Source organism: Homo sapiens, chromosome 12 (assembly GCF_000001405.40).
Source record: "Homo sapiens chromosome 12, GRCh38.p14 Primary Assembly".
Taxonomy (NCBI): Eukaryota; Metazoa; Chordata; class Mammalia; order Primates; family Hominidae; genus Homo; species Homo sapiens.
In genome coordinates, this window is record NC_000012.12 from 101946446 (window position 1) to 101966161 (window position 19716).

At 42.8% G+C, this 19716-nt stretch overlaps 1 long non-coding RNA gene and 1 pseudogene across 2 annotated transcripts, besides 2 other annotated features; one reads left to right on the forward strand and one right to left on the reverse strand.

The window, feature by feature from the left end:
• Positions 3442–3561: an enhancer, noted in NCBI's record as "active region_6875". NCBI's record gives its function as "activates an Ori minimal core promoter by ATAC-STARR-seq in GM12878 lymphoblastoid cells {active_cell/tissue: GM12878}" and the evidence as "EXISTENCE:reporter gene assay evidence [ECO:0000049][PMID:35858748]".
• Positions 4887–4996: an enhancer, noted in NCBI's record as "active region_6876". NCBI's record gives its function as "activates an Ori minimal core promoter by ATAC-STARR-seq in GM12878 lymphoblastoid cells {active_cell/tissue: GM12878}" and the evidence as "EXISTENCE:reporter gene assay evidence [ECO:0000049][PMID:35858748]".
• Positions 8553–17792, reverse strand: DRAM1-AS1 (DRAM1 antisense RNA 1). 2 transcript variants are annotated; one of them, XR_001749284.2, is made up of 3 exons: positions 17707–17792; positions 15805–15931; positions 8991–9445 (listed from the first exon to the last, which is right to left on the reverse strand). It is a non-coding gene; the product is annotated as a DRAM1 antisense RNA 1 (long non-coding RNA). The 2 variants fall into 2 exon arrangements; XR_007063425.1 differs by lacking the exon at positions 17707–17792 and having other exon boundaries at positions 8553–9445; positions 15805–16015.
• Positions 17547–18026, forward strand: NENFP2 (neudesin neurotrophic factor pseudogene 2; annotated as a pseudogene).

The window sequence follows — 19716 nt, forward strand, 5'->3', positions numbered from 1 at the left end:
AATTAGTGGCTATGGGAGGCGTGAATACAGAGGGCCTTGGTAGTAAGTGTGTCCATGAAGTGCTGTTCAGTCTGACTTTGTATTTATAGTCTAGCTCAATAAAAATGATGTGATTTTTTTTCTTGGTTACAAAGGAAATAGGATGGCTCATAGGTCAATAATTCCATATCTGATTTCTTAGACCTGTGACATTTATATCACACTTCCAACAGTTAAAACTTTTGTCTTCTGAAATATCTGCTCATTCCACTGGGAAAAGCATTTTGGAATACACATAACCTTCTGTGACCCCAGCCATTCGTTTCCCTTAACCTCCCCACACCCTGCATGCCATACTTACTTATTTAATTTTTTTTTTTCTTTGAGCCAGAGTTTCACTCTTGTTGCCCAGGCTGGAGTACAACGGTATGATCTCGGCTCACTGCAACCTCCACCTCCTGGGTTCAAGCGACTGTCCTGCCTCTCAGCCTCCCAAGTAGCCAAGATTACAGGCACCCACCACCATGCCCGGCTATTTATTTATTTTTGTCTTTTTAGTAGACACGGGGTTTCACCATGTTGGCCAGGCTGGTCTCGAACTCCTGACCTCAGGTGATCCACCCGCCTTGGCCTCCCAAAGTGCTGGGATTACAGGCGTGAGCCACCGGACCCAGACTATTTGTTTAATTTTACAACCAGCAACAAGCCTAGCATGCCACACTTAAGTGTTCCCAAATTATAACTCTTCCAAGTAACGGGAACTAGAGGTTTCTTCCTGTGGTGCTGACAGAGGTGACAGTGGGTAAGCAACAGGTGGTTAAAGGTTTGAGCAGGAAGGGGCCCTGTACCCACTCCAGTGTCTTTAAGGTAGATATAAGGCATGTGGAAGTGTGAGAACCGGACACTGCCTTCAGTGCTGTGGGAACCCAGGTGAAGTTTCCCCTTTATAAAGTTTTCCCTATGCCTCCCTTAGAGGGATGAGGCAGCAGAACAGAGCTCCCTGCCTTTACACAGCCATGCAGGGTCCAGGATCCCCACCATCTAAGAGAGACAAAGAAAACTGGGAAAGAGATCTGTTATTGAGCTTCCTGCCAATTTTGTCCTGTGGGACACTCAAACTGGATTTAATTTGATATAGCAAAATAAAGAAATACTCACCATACACTCTATGAGTGTTGTGTAAAAATTCTTAACTGTTAACAATATATAAAAAATCAATCTCAATTTGCAAGGATATTAATATTTAAATCAGAAAATTTTCTCCATTAGATTAACACATATATGCCTGGGTACAGTGGCTCACGCCTGTAATCCCAGCACTTTGGGAGGCCGAGGCAGGCCGATCATTTAAGGTCAGGAGTTCGAGATCAGCCTGGCCAACATGGCGAAATCCTGTCTCTACTAAAAATACAAAAATTAGATGGAGGTTGCAGTGAGCCGAGATCTTGCCACTGCACTCCAGCCCCAGCAACAGAGTGAGACTTCATCTCAAAAAAAAAAAAATATATATATATATATATAATATTTCAGTCTCAGGGGCAACAAAGATATTTTTAAAAGCTCACAGCCAATGATGGTGAGTGAGGGTATGGAGAAATGGTCATGCTTACACACTTTCATTAGATACATAAATTGGTACAATCCTTCTGGCACATAATTTGATAAATAATAACAGCCTTAAATTTCGACCTAGTAATTCTTTTTCCACCAGTCTATTATTTAGTGGAAGTTGTTATTATTATGAAATAATCAGAAACTTGGATAAAAATTTATAAACAAAGCTGTTTATGGGAGCATTATTTATAGTTCTAATAAATGTGATGTTAAAAGTATGATTTGAATAATGAAAAATGGTTAAATAAATGATGGCACATCCATAAAATTTAATATTGAGGTAGACGTTAAGGTCCTTCAAAACTATTATGGCTTCCTCCCAGATTAAGTTAGAAATAAACACATGTATAAGCCAGCTCTTGCCGCATAACAAACCACCCCAAAATTCAGTGGCTTAAGACACTGTCAAAATTCATGGACTGGCTGGATGAATCTTTTGGTCTGAGCTGGCTCAGCTGGAACTGGTTGCATGTATGGGACAGCTGGGATGGCTCATCCTCTCTCTCCATGTGGTCTTTCATCCCCTAGGTCAATCTTAGGCTATTCTAAAAGCATGAAGAGAGAAAAGCCCCAATGCACAAGCATGTGTCAAGCTTCTGCGCATGTTACATTTGCTAATGTCCCATCAGCCAAAGTAAGTCACATGGCCAAGCCCAGAGTCAACAAGTGGAGAAATAGACTCAATCTCTTGATTGGAGGATCCGCAAAATATTGTAGCCATTATACACACACACACACACACACACACACACACACACACACACACATTGGCTGGGCTGACGCCTGTAATCCCAGCACTTGGCAGATCACTTGAGGCCAGGAGTTTGAGAGCAGCCTGGCCAACATGGTGAAACCCTGTCTCTACTAAAAATACAAAAATTAGCTGGGTGTGTGTGCATGCCTGTGATCCCAGCTACTTGGGAGGCTGAGGCATGAGAATTATTTTAACCTGGGAAGTGAAGGTTGCAGTGAGCCAAGATTGCACCACTGCACTCTAGCCTGGGCGACAGAGAAAGACTCTGTATCAAAAAAAAAAGAAAAAAATTAAAATTAAATATATATATTTATTTCACACCATGTAACTTGCTTTGGCTAATAAAATATGTATACTTTTCTATATTCTCCTTTCCTCTTGCTCGATGATCAGATACATTTGAAATAGCAGCTGCTCAGTCGGGCTCTGTTTCAAAGTGATCAAAATGCTGTCCTGCACCAGACATGAGGCTTGAATCAGAAACAAACCTTTGCTGTATTAAGTCACATAGAGAATTTTTGTTATTGCTACATAACCTACTTTGTCTAAAGTAATACAAAAATTATGGAGGGACTGAAATGATGTTTTTAGAAAATAATTATGTGAGAAAGAATTCAATAATAAAACTCTTTGTAAATGAGCAGCCTATGAAGCAGATGCATACTTGTATATGTTGTATAATCCCAAATTTGCATTTGTATTTGCAAACACATACACACATATATACTGAAAGGAAATATATCAAAATTTTAACAGTGGGTTACAGGTAATTATTACTTTTTTCTTCTCCGTATTTTCTGAATTTTTGATAATGAGTTTGTATTATCATGGGTAAATGATATATATATTTTTTCAATTTCTCCCTAGCCCGTCCCTATAAGAGTATTACTCAGCTGAGCGTGGTGGCTTACGCCTGTAATCCCAGCAGTTTGGAAGGCCGAGGCAGGTAGATCACTTGAGGTCAGGAGTTCGAGACCAGCCTGGCCAACATGGTAAAACCCCATCTCTACTAAAAGTACAAAAATTAGCCAGGCATGATGGTGCATGCCCGTAATCCCAGCTACTCAAGAGGCTGAGACAGGAGAATTGCTTGAACCCGGGAGGCAGCAATTGCACTGAGCTGAGATTGCGCCACTGCACTCCAGCCTGGGTGACAGAGTGAGACTCTGTCTCAAGAAAAAAAAAAAAGAGTATTACTCATCCCTGTCCATCAGCAGGTGGTTTACTATCCTTCTTGTGGGGGAATTTTATGTCTCCATCTCACTGGACTTGGGCTTGGCCACGTGACACACTTTGGCCAATGAAATGTGAGTAAATATGGTGTCTGCTATGTTGGGTGTTTAAGATGCATTGTGAGTTTTGGCCAGTTTTCTTGCTCTTTCCCAGGTACGTCTCATGAAGGAGTTACTCTCTTAGCCTGGTTCCTGGAATGAGACAGAAATACAGAGAGCGAGAAAAAAATGTTTGTTCTGAGTTGTTGAGATTTGGAGGGGTTTTGTTAACACAGCTAACCTCACTAAGAAAATGTATTTTTTACTTTAAAAAACACACCTAAGAATATGACCATCAGTGACTCATAAGCCACCAAATTCTAAGTCCTGTCTGTAAAGGACACTGCTTCCTTCTTTATCCCACACCATTTTCTCTCTCTCTCCCTTTCAACTTCAAGGTGGTATACTACAAAATCAGGTTGTCCTGAAATAAACCAGTTCACAGATACAAGGTCTACTCTCGTCCTCTTGTAAAGTAGTAGGTCACATTCCCGTTTTCTGGAGATGTACCAGGAGCTGTCACTTCTTTGGACCTCAGGACAGGTTAAAAAAAAAAAAGGAGCTCATCTCTTTTTCTACTGAATATTACAGAGCAGGGGTGTCCAATCTTTTGTCTTCCCTGGGTCACATTGGAAGAAGAAGAATTGGTGGTCTTGGGCCACCAATTTTTTTATGTGTAGTCTTGGGCCACACATAAAATATACTAACACTAACGATAGCTGATGAGCTAAAAAAAAAAAAAATCTCATAATGTTTTAGGAAAGTTTACAAATTTGTGTTGGGCCGCATTCAAAGCCATCCTGGGCCGCATGCAGCCCATGGGCCGCGGGTTGGACAGGCTTATTCTAGAGAATATTTTAACACTGGCAGGGAGTATGGCATCATTCAGAAGTCATTAACCAGCATAGAACCCTTATTCTGAATTAAAGTGGACTTGTTTCTTTCAAAACCTCGCCAGGGATTTCTTAAAATGTACAGAAGATTGATCATTTATACACAAAATGCTCATTTATTCAAAGAAAATGAAACTTCTTATCTTTCTACAAATTACCTAATCCTCCTATAAGCTCCACCCTGCTGAGTAACAAGGAAACTTAGATTTAAGTATTTCAGTGTCCCCTCTGTCTTCTGCTCCAAGTGGCTTGTTAGGGTTTGCTGATTGTGTCGCTGTGGTGGTGGGTGGGTGGAACTCCAATCTTTGTGTTGGTCTCATGCCAGATCTTCACCCGTTTTGAAGAAATGATTTCCCTGTCTACCCTGTCACTCCTCACTCTACCGGCACCTTCTGCAAACATCTGTGGCTACAGTAATACTCTTGGTCTGCTGTCTCTCAGCTCAGCCAGGGTTTGGGGGCCTCCTGGTTAACTTGCATCATCTCAGCTCTCTGAGATTGTGTATTTCTTTAAAGGTGTGGGGATTCCCATTCGATCACCAGCCCAGGTGGTCTGCCCGCAAGCTCCCACTTTGGTAACCCTCTGCTGAGCTTGCCAGCACACCATCTACTTTCTTTATCTTTCAATGGGCCCTTGAAGGACTTCAGGGCACTCTTCACACCACATGAGAGCCAAGGACAGCTGGGCTTAGCAGCCCAGATTGGTAGAGGGTGCACTCTGTTTTGTTCCAATTGCTGCCCTTATACAGGAGAAGAATTTTCTGCCTTGCTGGAAAGATGTGAGCTAGACTTCCTGTCCTTGGCTTTGGGTGAAGGTCACAGAAGGAAGTTGGGCCCTATTATCCCAGTGGTTGCAGTGAGGTCTCTGCAGGCTCTTCAGATCTGAATGAGATTCTCTTCTGCTTCTCTGAGAGTCATTCTCTAGTCATGTTTGGGAGCATAATTCCCATCTGCTTATCATTTCCCCGGCATAGAACATAGGAGGTCAGGATCGCACAACATTCCCTTGTTGTTCTCAGGATGCCTCTGAACTCCGATCCTTGAATGTTTTGCTCCAATTCATGCTGAATTTCTTGAATGGCCCCCAGCACACCGGTGCCATGTTACTTCCTACTTCTGAGCCTTGGCCCATGCTGTTTTCTCTGCCCAGACTGCCCTTCCAACATCCACTGCTCTTGGAAAACTTCTGCTCATCCCCTAAGACACTGCGCAGGACTCTTTCTCTGAGATGTTCACTTCACTCTGGGCACTTTGCATGATGAACTTCATCAAAAAACCTTCTGTGTCTGTCTTCATCATGAGAATGAAGGTCCTAAGGGGCCAGGGTTTCATCTAAAACATTTTTGTTTTCCTAATGTCTGGTACAGAAAAATGCTCAACAAATGTTGGTTTGCAAAAATAAACCTTGGGCTAGTCGCGGTGGCTCAAGTCTGTAATCCCAGCACTTTGGGAAGCCAAGATGGGCAGATCACGAGGTCAGGAGATCAAGACCATCCTGGCTAATACGGTGAAACCCTGTCTGTACTGAAAATACAAAAAATTAGCTGAGCGTGGTGGCATGCACCTGTGGTCCCAGCTACTCAGGAGACTGAGGCAGGAGAATCGCCTGAACCCGGGAGGCAGAGGTTGCACTGAGCTGAGATCATGCCACTGCACCCCAGCCTGGGCAACAGAGCGAGACTCTGTCTCAAAAAATAAATGAATAAATAAATAAATAAATAAATAAAATAAATCTTGGGTAAAGTATGCATGGGATCTCACTGTATTACTTCTTACAACTGCAAATGAATTTACAGTGATGTGACAATAAAAAGTTTAATAATAATTTTTTTTAAATCCCTAAATGAACAGAGCCCATCATTTTTGAAAGCTCCCTGGTTACCCCCTGGTAGAAGACCAGAGTCCAAAGTAAGTCTGAGGCCTTGAAGAAGATGCCATTTTCAAGTGAAGGGTGGATGCTTCAAATTATTAATAGTTGGATCCCCCACTTGCCCTCAGAACCATCAAGTTCAGAAAGCTTTGAAGGAAGTTGGAGCACCTGTTAGCACATACAAATTACAGCAATTATAAAAAGGAAAGCCTCTGGGCAGATGAATTAGAAAAAAATGGGCTTCTCTAGGCTTGGTGGGTGGTAGTGTCTTTGTGTGAAATAAAAGCATGGTATTCCTTCCACTGGATGCTTCAGCCACACAAGCTAAGAGAGGAGTCAATTGCAGCCTCTTTCTTCCCCTCAGTCCGTCTCTGTTGTGTAAGGCATAACCTGAACGCAGCAGCCCAGGCCTGAGTATTTTCCTAGGTTTGCCATCTCATTTCAAAGGGCCAACTACCATGTTTTCATCCCCACTGGAGTGTCTGCTCATGTGGAAACATTATCTTTGGTTTGTAGCAAAAACTTAGTATTTTCTGTTAAATTTCTTAAATGGGTCAGTGTAAATAAAGAGTTAAGGTCGTGCACAGTGGCTCACGCCTGTAATCCCAGCACTTTGGGAGGCCGAGGCAGGCAGATCACTTGAGGTCAGGAGTTTGAGACCAGCCTGCCCAATATGGCAAAACCCCATCTCTACTAAAAATACGAAAATTAGCCAGGCGTGGGGGCACGTGCCTGTAATCCTAGCTACTTGGGAGGCTGAGGCAGGAGAATTGCTTGAACCCAGGAGGCAGAGGTTGCAGTGAGCCAAGATCGCGCCACTGCACTCCAGCCTGGACAATAGAGCGAGACTCCATCTCAAAAAAAAAAAAAAAAAAAAGAGTTAGTATACTTGAGTTAGTGGTCCATTCTCCATCAAAATTGGTTCCCTTTTAGTGAAGATCCCCTCTGTCTTAGTCCATTCAAGCTCTAATGATAGTATACCATAAGCTGGGTGGCTTAGAAACAGCATAAACTTATTTCCTACAGTTCTAGAGGCTGGGAAGTTCAAGAGCAAGTCTGGCAGATTTGGTGTCTAGTGAAAGCCTACTTCCTGATTCACAAGTGGTGCCTTCTGCTGTAATTCACATGTTGGAAAGGACAAGGGAACTCTTTCAGTTCTCTTTTATGAAGGCACTAATCCCATCCCTGTGACTTCATCGCCTCCCAGAGGCCCCACCACCATCACCTTGGGGGTTAGGATTTCAATATATGAATTCAGGGGGGACATAAACATTCAGACCATAGCGTCCTCCTTTGGAGTTTCTTCCTAGTGGAAGTTCTTGTTAGGATAAAGTTTTCTGTAGCGGATCTTTTGTTTGCTTGTTTGTTTTAATACCTGGAGAGTGAAAGTGAGGATCCAGGAACCAATTCTGGTCTCTTTATGTTTCTCAAAGGAGTGGTCCTACAGGACTTTGCTAAGCAGGCAGAAATATGCATCTTAGTTAAGATTACAATCACTGCACATAGTATATTTGTTGCATGGAGTGAGGGTGGAGTAACAGCTTGTTAAAGTCATTTTTTAAATTAAGAAATGTCTATAAATGTATTTGCATCTATTATTGTCTTTGATTTCTTTTCCACAAGACTATGAATTCTTTATGCATGAGGACCTTGAGTTCACACTTGTATGGCTAATCTGCTGGGGTCTGATGTTGTCCTGCCAAGGTGGCACAGATACACACCTGACAAGTGACATGTAGCAGAGAGTGAAATATGGCTTACTGGGGATGCTTCGATGTGGAGTGGCAGCAGAATGCATAGTACCCTGGCTGTAATCATTGACAAAAACTGTGTGCTTGATCAGCCAGAGCTGGATGCTAGCTTCCCGGGAGTGGCTCCTGGGAAAGGACCCTGCCCCTTACTGCTCTATGTATTTTGGGGAAATGATGGCAGAGGACATCTAGCACACTGCAGATATTGGGAACTTCTTGGTTGAAGAAGCAGCCTTGTTAGAAGAGAGACCTTTTAGAATTTAGCCTCAGGCATCAGCCTGCTTTTCCTTTGAACTAACACAGACCTGCTCAGCCAGCTTCTTGCTAAACTACCAGGAAGGCTGCTGGGATTTATCTGTCCTCTAGCACTGAGTAGGTAATTGGGAACTCAGTAAGTGTTGAATGAATGGAACTATTATTGTTAGGAGGAAATTCATATTTATTTCATTTAAATTTGCTCTCCTCTTGCAATCTGGCTATGGGAAGGTCCCTTAGGAATGGATGGGCTAGGCAGGGCCAGGGGGATTTTCTCTGCCTGCCCATTTCATAGAGAAGGGAGGGGGCAGATTAGCTACCATGAGGTTTTTTGTTTGTTTGTTTGTTTATTTGTTTTCTGAACCTGGATCCTAAGAATAAAAACCAAGAGAGCTTCTCTGTCCTGCTGAGTAGAAGAGGTAGCCACTGGAGAGACCTTGGTACAGAGGAACCAGAGAAGGCATAGCTATATGCCCCAAATCACAGTTTGGGCAGAGTAGCCCAAGGAGAGTACACAGATTGGGCAGAGTAGCCCATCGTACCCCACTGTGCGAAGGAGAACCTAGAGACCATTCTTGGGAGGACTCTGGGAAGGTATGACGGTCATGTTGTTTCAGCCCAAACCTCAGGGCAGCCACGTGGCAGCTGTTAAGTGCTCTTTTGGAGGTAAATGTGTGAAACCAGGACTGTTCCAAGGGCAAAGAAAGTCCAGGATTCATCATTAAGATGGGTTTCCTGTGGTCCCTGAAGGCCTCAGCATCACAGGAGATTCCAGATCTGCTGCTCTGGGGATCCACATGAGGCGGGATGATGTGCCTGCTGAAATTAAAGGGACAGGGTGGTGGGAAAAGTCTCCATCCCAGGATGGCAGGCTTCCACAGCCACAGCAACTCATGACAGGCCTCACTGGGGGATGAGCAGAGCTGCGTCCTTTGGAGCCAGAGACATCAGGTCTCAGGTAGTGTGAAGGATCCTAGCCATGGAGTGGCCAGCCAGTAAACTGTGTTGGGCAGCAGAGGAGTAAGAAGCTGCATGTCCTTCCATGGGCAAGAAGAGGCACTGCAAGAGAAGGCAGAAAATGTGTTTCTGGGCATTGGGCAAGCCTTTTTTTATCTCTCCCTCAAATGGAACAGAATCCCAGGGTAGGATGGATCTGTGACCTCATGGTAACAGGTGGACCTAATAACTTGAAATACCAAGGATAAGGAAAGAGCCTGTTCTACTGAAGGTTCATATGGCCCAGTGGTCCCCAAGCATTTTGGCGCCCAGGGCCCAGTTTCATGGAAGACAATTTTTCCATGGACCAATGTGGGGGGAGGGGTGATTTCAGGATGATTCAAGCACGTTATATTTATTGTGCACTTTATTTCCATTATTATTACATTGCAATATATAATGAAATAATTATACAACTTACCATAATGTAGAATCAGTTGGAGCCCTGAGCTTGTTTTCCTACAACTAGATGGTCACCTCTGGGGCTGATGGGAGACAGTGACAGATCATCAAGCATTAGATTCTCATAAGGAGTTCGCAACCTAGAACCCTCACACGTACAGTTTGCAATAGGGTTTGCGGTCCTATGAGAATGTAATGCTGCTGCTAGTCTGACAGGAGGCAGAGCTCAGGCGGTAATGTGAGTGATGGAGAGTGGCTACAAACACAGATGAAGCCTCTGTCACTCACCTGCCACTCACCTTCTGCTGTGTGGCACAGTTCCTAACAGGCCACGGACCAGTACTGGTCCGTGACCTGGGGCTTGGGGACCCCAGATATGGCCCATCTCATACTATTACTATTACTAGTGCTACTACTATTACTGGCTAACGAGGCACTTTGCTAAAAGCTGTACAAGCATTTTTCCACTTAATCCTAGAAATAACCTTATGAAGTAAGTACCGCAATTTAGGAATCTGAAGCTGAGCAAGGCTGCAAAATTGTTCAAAATAAAATAGCTTGGAGTGGTCTAGCCTGGAACAGAACACAGTTACATTGGACTCCAGAGTCCACAAGCCTCAGCATTACTCTGTGTGCGTCTCAAATGTCTTAAGTAATTGATGCGGCCAAGATAGCTTCCCTCTGTGAGTGCCATGTGGCAGGAATTGTGTTTATTCTCTTCACCACTGTGGTCCCAATGCCGAGTACGGTGCTTTGTTCCCAATAGGTATTAGATATGTATTTGTGGAATAAAAACAGGGATGTGTGTGTAGCAGAAAACCATCAGTTTATACTGAGCTTCTTTCCTGAAGACAGTTATGAATCATATTCCCATACCAGGTCAAGGGATGGAAAACGTGATCATCAGGCTGTTTGTGCTTTTAACATTTCAGATTCAAAACAAGCATTGTTTTATGATGAAAATGAATTATCCTGACATTCTATCACATCTTATCAGACTCTTTTTTATTCAAAATGCTGTTGGTACTCTTACTTAATAAACTGGAGCAAGCAATAAATTCCACTGGTCTACAGAGACTGTGGTTGGGTTCCCAGTACCAAAATGATTTTGATTATTGAGTTGGCATATACCTCTAAACATTCCTAAATCAGTGGTTGGCAGCAGCAATATTCTGAAAGAAAGAGAAAAAGAAAAAACAGCGCGTGCGCATGCATACACATACACACACGCGCACACACACACGTGATAGCTTCAAAGCCTCTTACACATTAATGGATTCCTTATGGATTACATGGCTGTAATTGTGAAAGAGCACAAAGAACTAAAGGGAACCTTATTTCTTTAAACAAAAACATTTTTTAAAAGATGTTCCTTTTGAAAAGTCATTTGTTTTTTCTGAAGAGAGTAGGAAAAAAAAAGCTCCAACATAATGGAACTCTTAAAAATGTGTCAGGAACACAATAGAAAACCAGAATAAATGTAGGCAAGGCAACCACAGGAAGCCAGTCGCAGACTGAGTTCATTTGTACTCTAACAGCAGACATGGATGAAGAAAACAACCAGCAGGAGAGAGAGTAGTGAGAAGTGCCAGCTCATAGTAAGGGGGCCAGTAGGAAGGGAGACGGTGTGTGGTAGGGGGAGGGACATTCTAGAATTCAAAACAACAGACTATTCATATCATATTCTTAAAATCGGTGTAATGAAACCTGTTTATATTATCCTCAAATTAATTGTTCAATGTTCGAATGTCAGTGTCCCAGCCAATGACCCACCAACAATTTCCTTGGTCATTGCATTTTCTTTCCTTGGTCTTTCGAAAAAATAACGAATGAGTTTCTCTATTTATAAAGTTTCTCTGAAATGTCTTCTTATGTCATGGAGGCTGGGAGTTCATCTTGGGACACTGGATGTGATGGGGGGCCCTTGGCTGGGATCAGGAGGTTTTTGTGATTGTGAGGCAACTTCTGATCCCATTAGCTGACGGTTGACTGACATTTTGGAACAAGATTTTGCAAGATACGGGAAAGGAAAAAAAGGAGCATGGGAAGGAGGCACTTAAAAGATTGAGAAGGCAGGAATAAGCTGAGTGCTCCCAGATTTGAGGAGGATTTTATTGTTGGACACAGATCTCTGGTGAGCTTGCAGCCAGGATGTCGGAGGCCTGGTATGGGGGACCTAGTTTGGGTTTTCTTGTCAGCTTTGTACTGACCTTACCAAGCAAACTGGCTCTATGAGAAATGGGAGCCAGTTAATTTACCTTCCCATTTATAAGTTAGGTAGCAATGTATACACACATGAGGGGGCAGCCTTTCCTGGAGGGTTTAAGGTAATATTTGAGAGAAAATAAAAGGAAATACCACTTTAGATGCCTGGAAATTGCTTCCCAGAGAAGTGGCATAGGCTGAAAGTAACCATGAAAAGTTCCATGAAAGATTTATCTAGATTCTTTGTTACTAGATTTGCAAATACTTTTCTTAGTGGGAGTGAAATGCTTTAGGGAATGTTTTTAAGTTTTCCTTAATATTCATGTCAGAAGCAGAATATTGGTTGGGTTGCATAGGATCTGACTGATTATGTAATTTCTCACTGAAAATATTTATTACACTCTGGAAGATTTCAGGAAGGCCCTCTATCCAAAGTGTGTGGAAAGGTAGAAAAAAGGAATGGGCTTTGCAGTCAGACAGCCAGGGGTTTGAAGCCTACTTGCACTACCTGCTAGCTGTAAGATCTTGGGGAAACCACTTCACCTCTTTGAATCTCAGCTCAATGCTAAGGACAAAAATATATGCCTAACAAGGTTTTCGTGAAGAGCAAGAGAGATCATGTGTGTGAAAATGTAGCATAGGACCTGGCACATAGTAGTAGTACTAGTAGGATTAGGTTGGTGCAAAGGTAACTGTGGTTTTTGCCATTTGAAAGTAATGATAGGTCAGGCCTGGTGGCTCATGCCTGTAATCCCAGCACTTTGGGAGGCCGAGGCAGGTGGATCACATAAGGTCAGGAGTTCAAGACCAGCCTGGCCAACATGGTGAAACCCTGTCTTTACTAAAAATACAAAAATTTGCTGGGCTCAGTGGCAGGTGCTTGTAATCTCTGCTACTCGGGAGCCAGAGGCAGGAGAATCACTTGAACCCAGGAGGTCGAGGTTGCGGTGAGCCAAGATTGTACCACTGCACTCTAGCTTGGGCTACAGAGTGAGACTCTGTCTCAAAAAAAAAAAAAAAGATTAAAAAAAAAAGTAACGGCAAAAACTACAATTACTTTTGCACCAACCTACTTGCTGTCCAATAAATGTTAGCTCCACTCATTTTCTCCCTTATATAAATAAGTAACATACTAGCCCTAAGCACTTACCATACATATAACTTCATTTATCCTCAAAACAATTCTATGAGAGAGGTACCATTATTGACCCAATTTTACAAATCTTAGTGAGTTTAAATACTGTTTAAGATGGAAATTATCTATTCTGCATAACAACCCCCAGAACATAGTGGCTTGAAACAACCACCATTTTAATGTATCTCATGATTCTGTGAGTTGACTGGGCTCGGCTGGGTGGTTCTTCTGCCCCACATGCTGTTGTCTGGGGCTGCATTTATCTGAAGGCTCAACTGGGCTGGAACATGCAAGATGGCTCCCTTGTATGGCTGGCAGTTGATGCTGGTTTTCAGCTGGGAGCACAGCTGTGACCGTCCATAAGGGCACAAACCCATGCTTCTCCATGTACCTCTCATAGGATGGCAGCTGTGTTCCAAAAGGGGGCATTCCAAGAGAGAAGACATGTAAGCTTCTAGTTCTCTTAACGCTTGGGCTCAGAAATCTCAGAATGTCACTTCTGCCACTATCTAGTGATCAAAGCAGTCACAGGCCCACCAAGATTTAAGAGAAGGGGATAGAAATTTTACCTTTCAGTGGAGAAGTGGTGTGAATATATAGGAGGGAAGGAGTTGATGACAGCCATGATTGGAGACTATCTACCACAAATGCTTTGCCAAAATCACAGAACAAGTCAGGTGTCAGAGTTAAGATTCAAACCACACAAATCAAACTTCAGAATACATATTCTCAGCCACTAGGCCATACACATACACAAGACAATATACAATTACATGCCCATATGTATGGAAAACACAACAAGTAAAATATAATTTCAGAGAAAAGATCAGAACAAAATTAAGAGCTCTAAAAGCCAGAAACTAAAAAACATACACTTTTTGTGTGCTTTCTCCCCATATAATGCAGAATAAATGTTACTTCTTGAACACATACTTATTCACCCTATTGAGTAACCCATGCTTGTATGGAAGATGTCAGAGAGACCTATAATTGTTAAAGAAAGCTTCCAGGGAGAAGCAGAATTTAGCCTGACTCTGAAGTCTGATTAGGATTTGAATAAGACAGAGAGACAAAGAAAGGGGAGGAAGATAAAATATGAACAAGAATGAGCAGGAAGTAGTAGCTAGGGGATGGAAGAAGGACAAGGCTGAAGTGATTTGGAAACAGTAGGACTGATTAATAACTCAATTGGTTTCCCATCTTTTTTTTTTTTTTTTTTTTTGAGACGGCGTCTCACTCTGTCACTCAGGCTGGAGTATAGTGACTCGATCTCGGCTCACTGCAACCTCTGCCTCCTTGGCTCAAGCAATTCTCTTATCTCCTACTTCTGCCTCCCGAGTAGCTGGGACCACAGATGCATGCCACTGCACCCAGCTGTTTTTTGTATTTTTTGTAGAGACGGTGTTTCACCATGTTTCCCAGATTGGTCTCAAACTCCTGAGCTCAAGTGATCCACCCACCTGGGCCTCCCAAAGTTTTGGGATTACAAGTGTGAGCCATGGCACCCCGCTGGTTCCCCATCTTTATAAATATCCCATTGTAGCACTGGGAACCTGATTACAAAGAATGAAGATCCTCATGACACCAGCCCATCTATGCAAACTCTGTTTCAAGACTTGGCCTTGCTGAAGGTGGATGTTGGAGAGCCTTTTCAGGGGCTGGGTGGGGAGGATGCTGCTTGAAGTTCACCCTGATGGCAGGTCTAGGAAGGGCCAGGTTCACACCACTGTCTTTCTAGTTTAATTTGGAAATGGATTGCTAAGCATATGACAAACCCAGTCATTATAACTCTTATTGTAGAATGCTCTAGAGAGTTCATTAACCTAAATCTCTCTTATATTACCACTCTACCAGTACTGCCTGATGAAGGCAAGGACTTGAGCCATTCTGAGCAAACACCATCTTCAGAATATTTTCCCATGAAGGTGGCTTCTATCATTCTCATTTGAAAAATCTTTGCTCTTTCTTCACATTTGAAAGAAACCCAGTATGACTGTTGTAATTTTTTTCACGTAAATTACAAATATTTAGAATCCTTGTCAAAGCAGTGAAAAAAAAGCAGATGTTTTCCTTTATGTTGGCCCCAAGTAATACCACATTAGAAAATAGAGAGTATTTTCAAGAGTTGTTAAAAGATATTTCAAGAAAATAAACATTTGTTGAATGCAAACAAGAACAGAGTATGGCATTTAAAAATACTAATTTAGAGCTAAGGAGTCTGAGGCTCAGAGATGATGAGTGATGTGTATAAGGTCACAGAGTGAGTTTTTGCAGCCATGTCAGAATCTGACCTCAGTTCTCTCAAGTCCCAGTCTGGTGTACTTTTTGTACTCCAGAATGCACTACTCCAGATAAATGCAAAGATGGCCATCCCCATATCCTTTGGGCCTCCCCATATCCACGTCCTTTGCAATATGACTTTGCAATTCCTTTCATCTCAAGGTAGACTATTTCCCCACTTCTTGAATCTGGGATGGCCTTGTGATTTGCTTTGGCCAGTGAAATGTGGTAGAAATGATGGTACACTTCTGAGCACAGGCACCAAGAGACCTGTGAGCTTCTGCTTGCAGTAAACTTACTACCACTGTATGGTCAAGTCTAGGTGTCTTAGTCTGTTCCTCCTGCTATGGAAAATGGCTGACACTGGATAAGTTATAAATAATAGAAACTTATTTCTCACAGTTCTGGGGGTTGGGAAGTCTAAGACCAAGGTGCCAGCTGGTTTGGTGCCTGGTGATGGCCCAGTCTCTGCTTCCAGGATGGTGCCTTGAACACTGCTTCCTCCAAATGGGATGAATGCTGTGTCCCTACATGGTGAAATAGAGACACAGAGGGGAAAAGGGACAAACAGCTCCCTTGCACTTCTTTTATAAGGTAATTAATCCCATTCATGAGGGCTCTGCCTTTATGACTTAATCACCTCCTAAAGGCTCCACCTCTTAATATTATCACAGTGGTGATTAAGTTTCAACATATGGGTTGTTGGAGGACACATTCAGGACATAGCACTAGGCTATACTTAGAAGATAAAAAGTCATGGAGAAGATCCCAGTGATTCCAGTCAAAGCCATACTAAGCTATCCAACAACCAGTCAACCACCACAGATGAGAGAGCTTACCCCACATTGCCAGAGCTTACAGCTGATCATGAGTGAGGCTTGAGTGAGCACAGCTGAGACCAGAAAAACTGCCCAGCTGACTCATGAGCAGTCACAAATACTCATTGTTTTAAGCAGAATTCAGCAAACCTTTACTTTTAAAGGACCCTATAGTACATAATATAGGTTCGTGCAGCATACCCTGTGTTGTAACTCTCCTCTGCTACTGTAGTGCAAAAAAATAGCCATAGATCATGTGTAAATGAACAGACATGGTGGTGTCTAAATAAACTGTGTTCACAAAAACTGGCATCTGGACCACAGGCTATGGTTTTCTGACCCCTGATTTTAAGGCGTTGAGTTTTGGGTGATTTGTTATACAACAAGAACTAACTGATACACTACATGATTCTGAATTGATATCCCAAATAAAGAAAAACATCAAAGTTAATACCAAGCAATGTATTTGCAAAGATAAAAGGAAGTAGCAAGAGGAAAATATCTCCATTTGCTTGAAGTTTACACCTTAGCTGCCTTTAAAGTTTACACCTTAGCTGCCTTTACAACACTTTGTTTGCAGACTGGGTATATTGTCATAGAACTGCTATTTCAGTCTTTACAAATAAGATTTTAATGAGGCTAGCCACACTTCTAGTGGAAAAAAACTTATTTTGGTTGCAAATTCAGTTTGCAAGCTTCTGAATTCAGATTTCAACCCCATTGAAACAGATTTCAAAGATTTCTGGAGAGCTTTTAAAGCCAAATTCATCAGCCTTTGCTTAGTTCTCCTCATCCTCACTGTCTCCATCATAGTTAGTGCTTCTGACCTCAGCCTCCTTGAAATTCTCTTCTCCTTTGGCTTGCATACTGCTTCTAGTTCATTTCTTTCCTCTCTGGTCTACAGTAGGAGCTCCATATTCAAAGCTGCTCCCCTCCTTACACATGTCAGTCCTGAGCCACTTTTTCTAGTGGGTCTTGGTCAGGCATATGTGTCAGAAGCCTCTATGTAATTTATTTAAAACTTGGAAGCATAATTGCTATAATTTGCAAAAGCTCCTCAGGTGACTTTGGTGAACACTTCTATGACAGACAGTATTTTACAAATATGGCTCCAAAATATCTCCTATCCCACATGTCCTTCTGCAATGTGTGCCACTCCCACATCAAGAGAATCAAGAGAGAGATAAAGTCTAGGCTGGCCAGGCTGCCTTTGCTCTGCACCACGTGTTCACTGTGGTGGGCCCCATGCCAGGGCAGTGGCTGCAGCAGCTGGCAGTGCTAGTCCTGATTCTGGTGCTAGCCTGGGGGGCTGGTCTACTATGGCAGGAGAAGGATCAGCCCATCTATTTGGCAGTGAAGGGAGTGGGGCTTGATGTCACCTCTGGAAAGGGGTTTTATGGACAAAGAGCCCCCTACAATGCCTTGACCAGGAAGGACTCTGCTAGAGGGGTAGCCAAGGTGTCCTTGGATCATGTAGACCTTACCTGTGACACACCACAGGTCTCATAGCCAAGAAGTTGTAGTCCATGGATGATGTCTTCACCAGTGTGTACAAAGCCAAACACCCAATTGTCAGCTACAGGGCTCAGACAATTCTCAATGAGTTTGGCAGCCCCAACCTGGACTTCAAGGCTGAAGACCAGCCCCTTTTTGACAAGAAGGAGGGGTTCTGAGGTTTCATCTGCAGGAGCAGGTTCTTGGGAGAGTGAGGTAGGAAGACATTCCAGCACTAAATTTCCTGCAAAACAGGCTGCCTAAAGCTTCTGACTTACCCAGGTTTGAATAAAACAGATGCTTAACCTGGAAAAAAAAAAAAAAGAGATAAAGTCTATTTATCAACCTCTTGAATATAGTGGGGCCCTGTGATATCTTTGGCCAATAGAATGTGATAGCAGTAATTGTGCTAGTTCTAGACATAGCCCTTTATTGGTCTGGTAGCTTTCACCTCCTACCTCTTGTAAGAAGTGTGATTATCTTGAGACAACCATGGTATGAGAAAGCTAGGCCATGTGAAGCAGCTGCAAAGGATGAGATCCCATGTGTGAGTGGAGAATCCATCTGGGAAGTGGATCCTTCAGGCCCAGCCAATATCATGTGGAACAAAACTACCTAGCTATACCCTTTCCAAATGCCTGACCCACAAAATCATAAACAAAATAAATGGTTGTGTTATGTCATTAAGCTCTAGGGTAGTTTGTTACTCAACAATAGGTGAACTAGACCAACCCTCTTTACCTATACACACATACCATCCTGTTAAGAATCACTGATGAAGCTGGCCAGGTGCAGTGGCTCAGGCCTATAATCCCAGCACTTTGGGAGGCTGAGGAGGGCAGATCACCTGAGGTCAGGAGTTCGAGACCACCCTGGTCAACATGGTGAAACCCCATCTCTACTAAAAATACAAATTTAGCTAGGCGTGGTGGCATGTGCCTGTAATCCCAGCTACTCTGGAGGTTGATGCAGGAGAATCTCTTGAACCTGGGAGGCAGAGGTTGCAGTGAGCCAAGATTGTGCCACTGCACTCCAGCCTGGGCAACAGAGCAAGACTCCATCTAAAAAAAAAAAAATAGAACCACTGAAGAACCTATATTGTCTCCCTGGCCTTAACCCTGTTAAGAACCAGTAACATCCTATACTGCTGCCCACCTGGCCTATATGGATTAAGCCACCCTCCATGAGCTGATACTTCAGAAATCTTAATCTTAACTCTTTTCTGAGCTCTACACCAGTTAGTTATGTAGACGTCCTGCTGGTACCTCAAATGCAATACATTTGTTGCTAAACTGAACGCATCAGCTCCCTTTTTAAAAGTCCTGTGCCCTTTTGCAATTAATTGTACCATTGTTTACCAAGTCACCCGTGGAATAATTTTTTATTCCTCTCTTTCACCTGGAGCAGCCATTAAGTCACAACATTCTTTTTGTCTTCTTCTTTCTATCCTTTTTGTCATTAACCTAATAATAACTTTATCATCTCTCAGCTGCATTACCGCAATGGTCTCTCTGCCTTTTATTCTTTAGTCCATCTTCCACAAAATGGCCAGAGTGAGCTTTCTAAAACATGAGTAGGTTCACATTATTTCTCTCCTTCAAAAGCAGCAATAGTTCCTGAATGCTCACCAGGAAAATCTCACTCTTAGTATAGCAGGCAATGTCCGCCACTATTGAGTGGCAAAGTAACTTCTCTACCTGTCATCCATTACCTCCTTATCACAACATAACTCTCAGCTACCTGGTCTACTAGCTGCCTTTCCCTGACTCTGAGCTTCTGTACAGACTTTTTCCTCAGTATGGAATGACTCTGCACTCTTTCTCCACATGTAGAATTTTTTTGAGTATCTCAAAGCCCAGTTCAATTTTCATGTTTTCCTGGATGTGTTTTCTGATTGCTCTTTTCCCTAGGGCTGCCACATATACCTGTGCAGTGTGTACCACACAACTCTAAGGAGAGCCATTCATAATTACAATGTAAGTTGCACTTCCTAGAGTTGT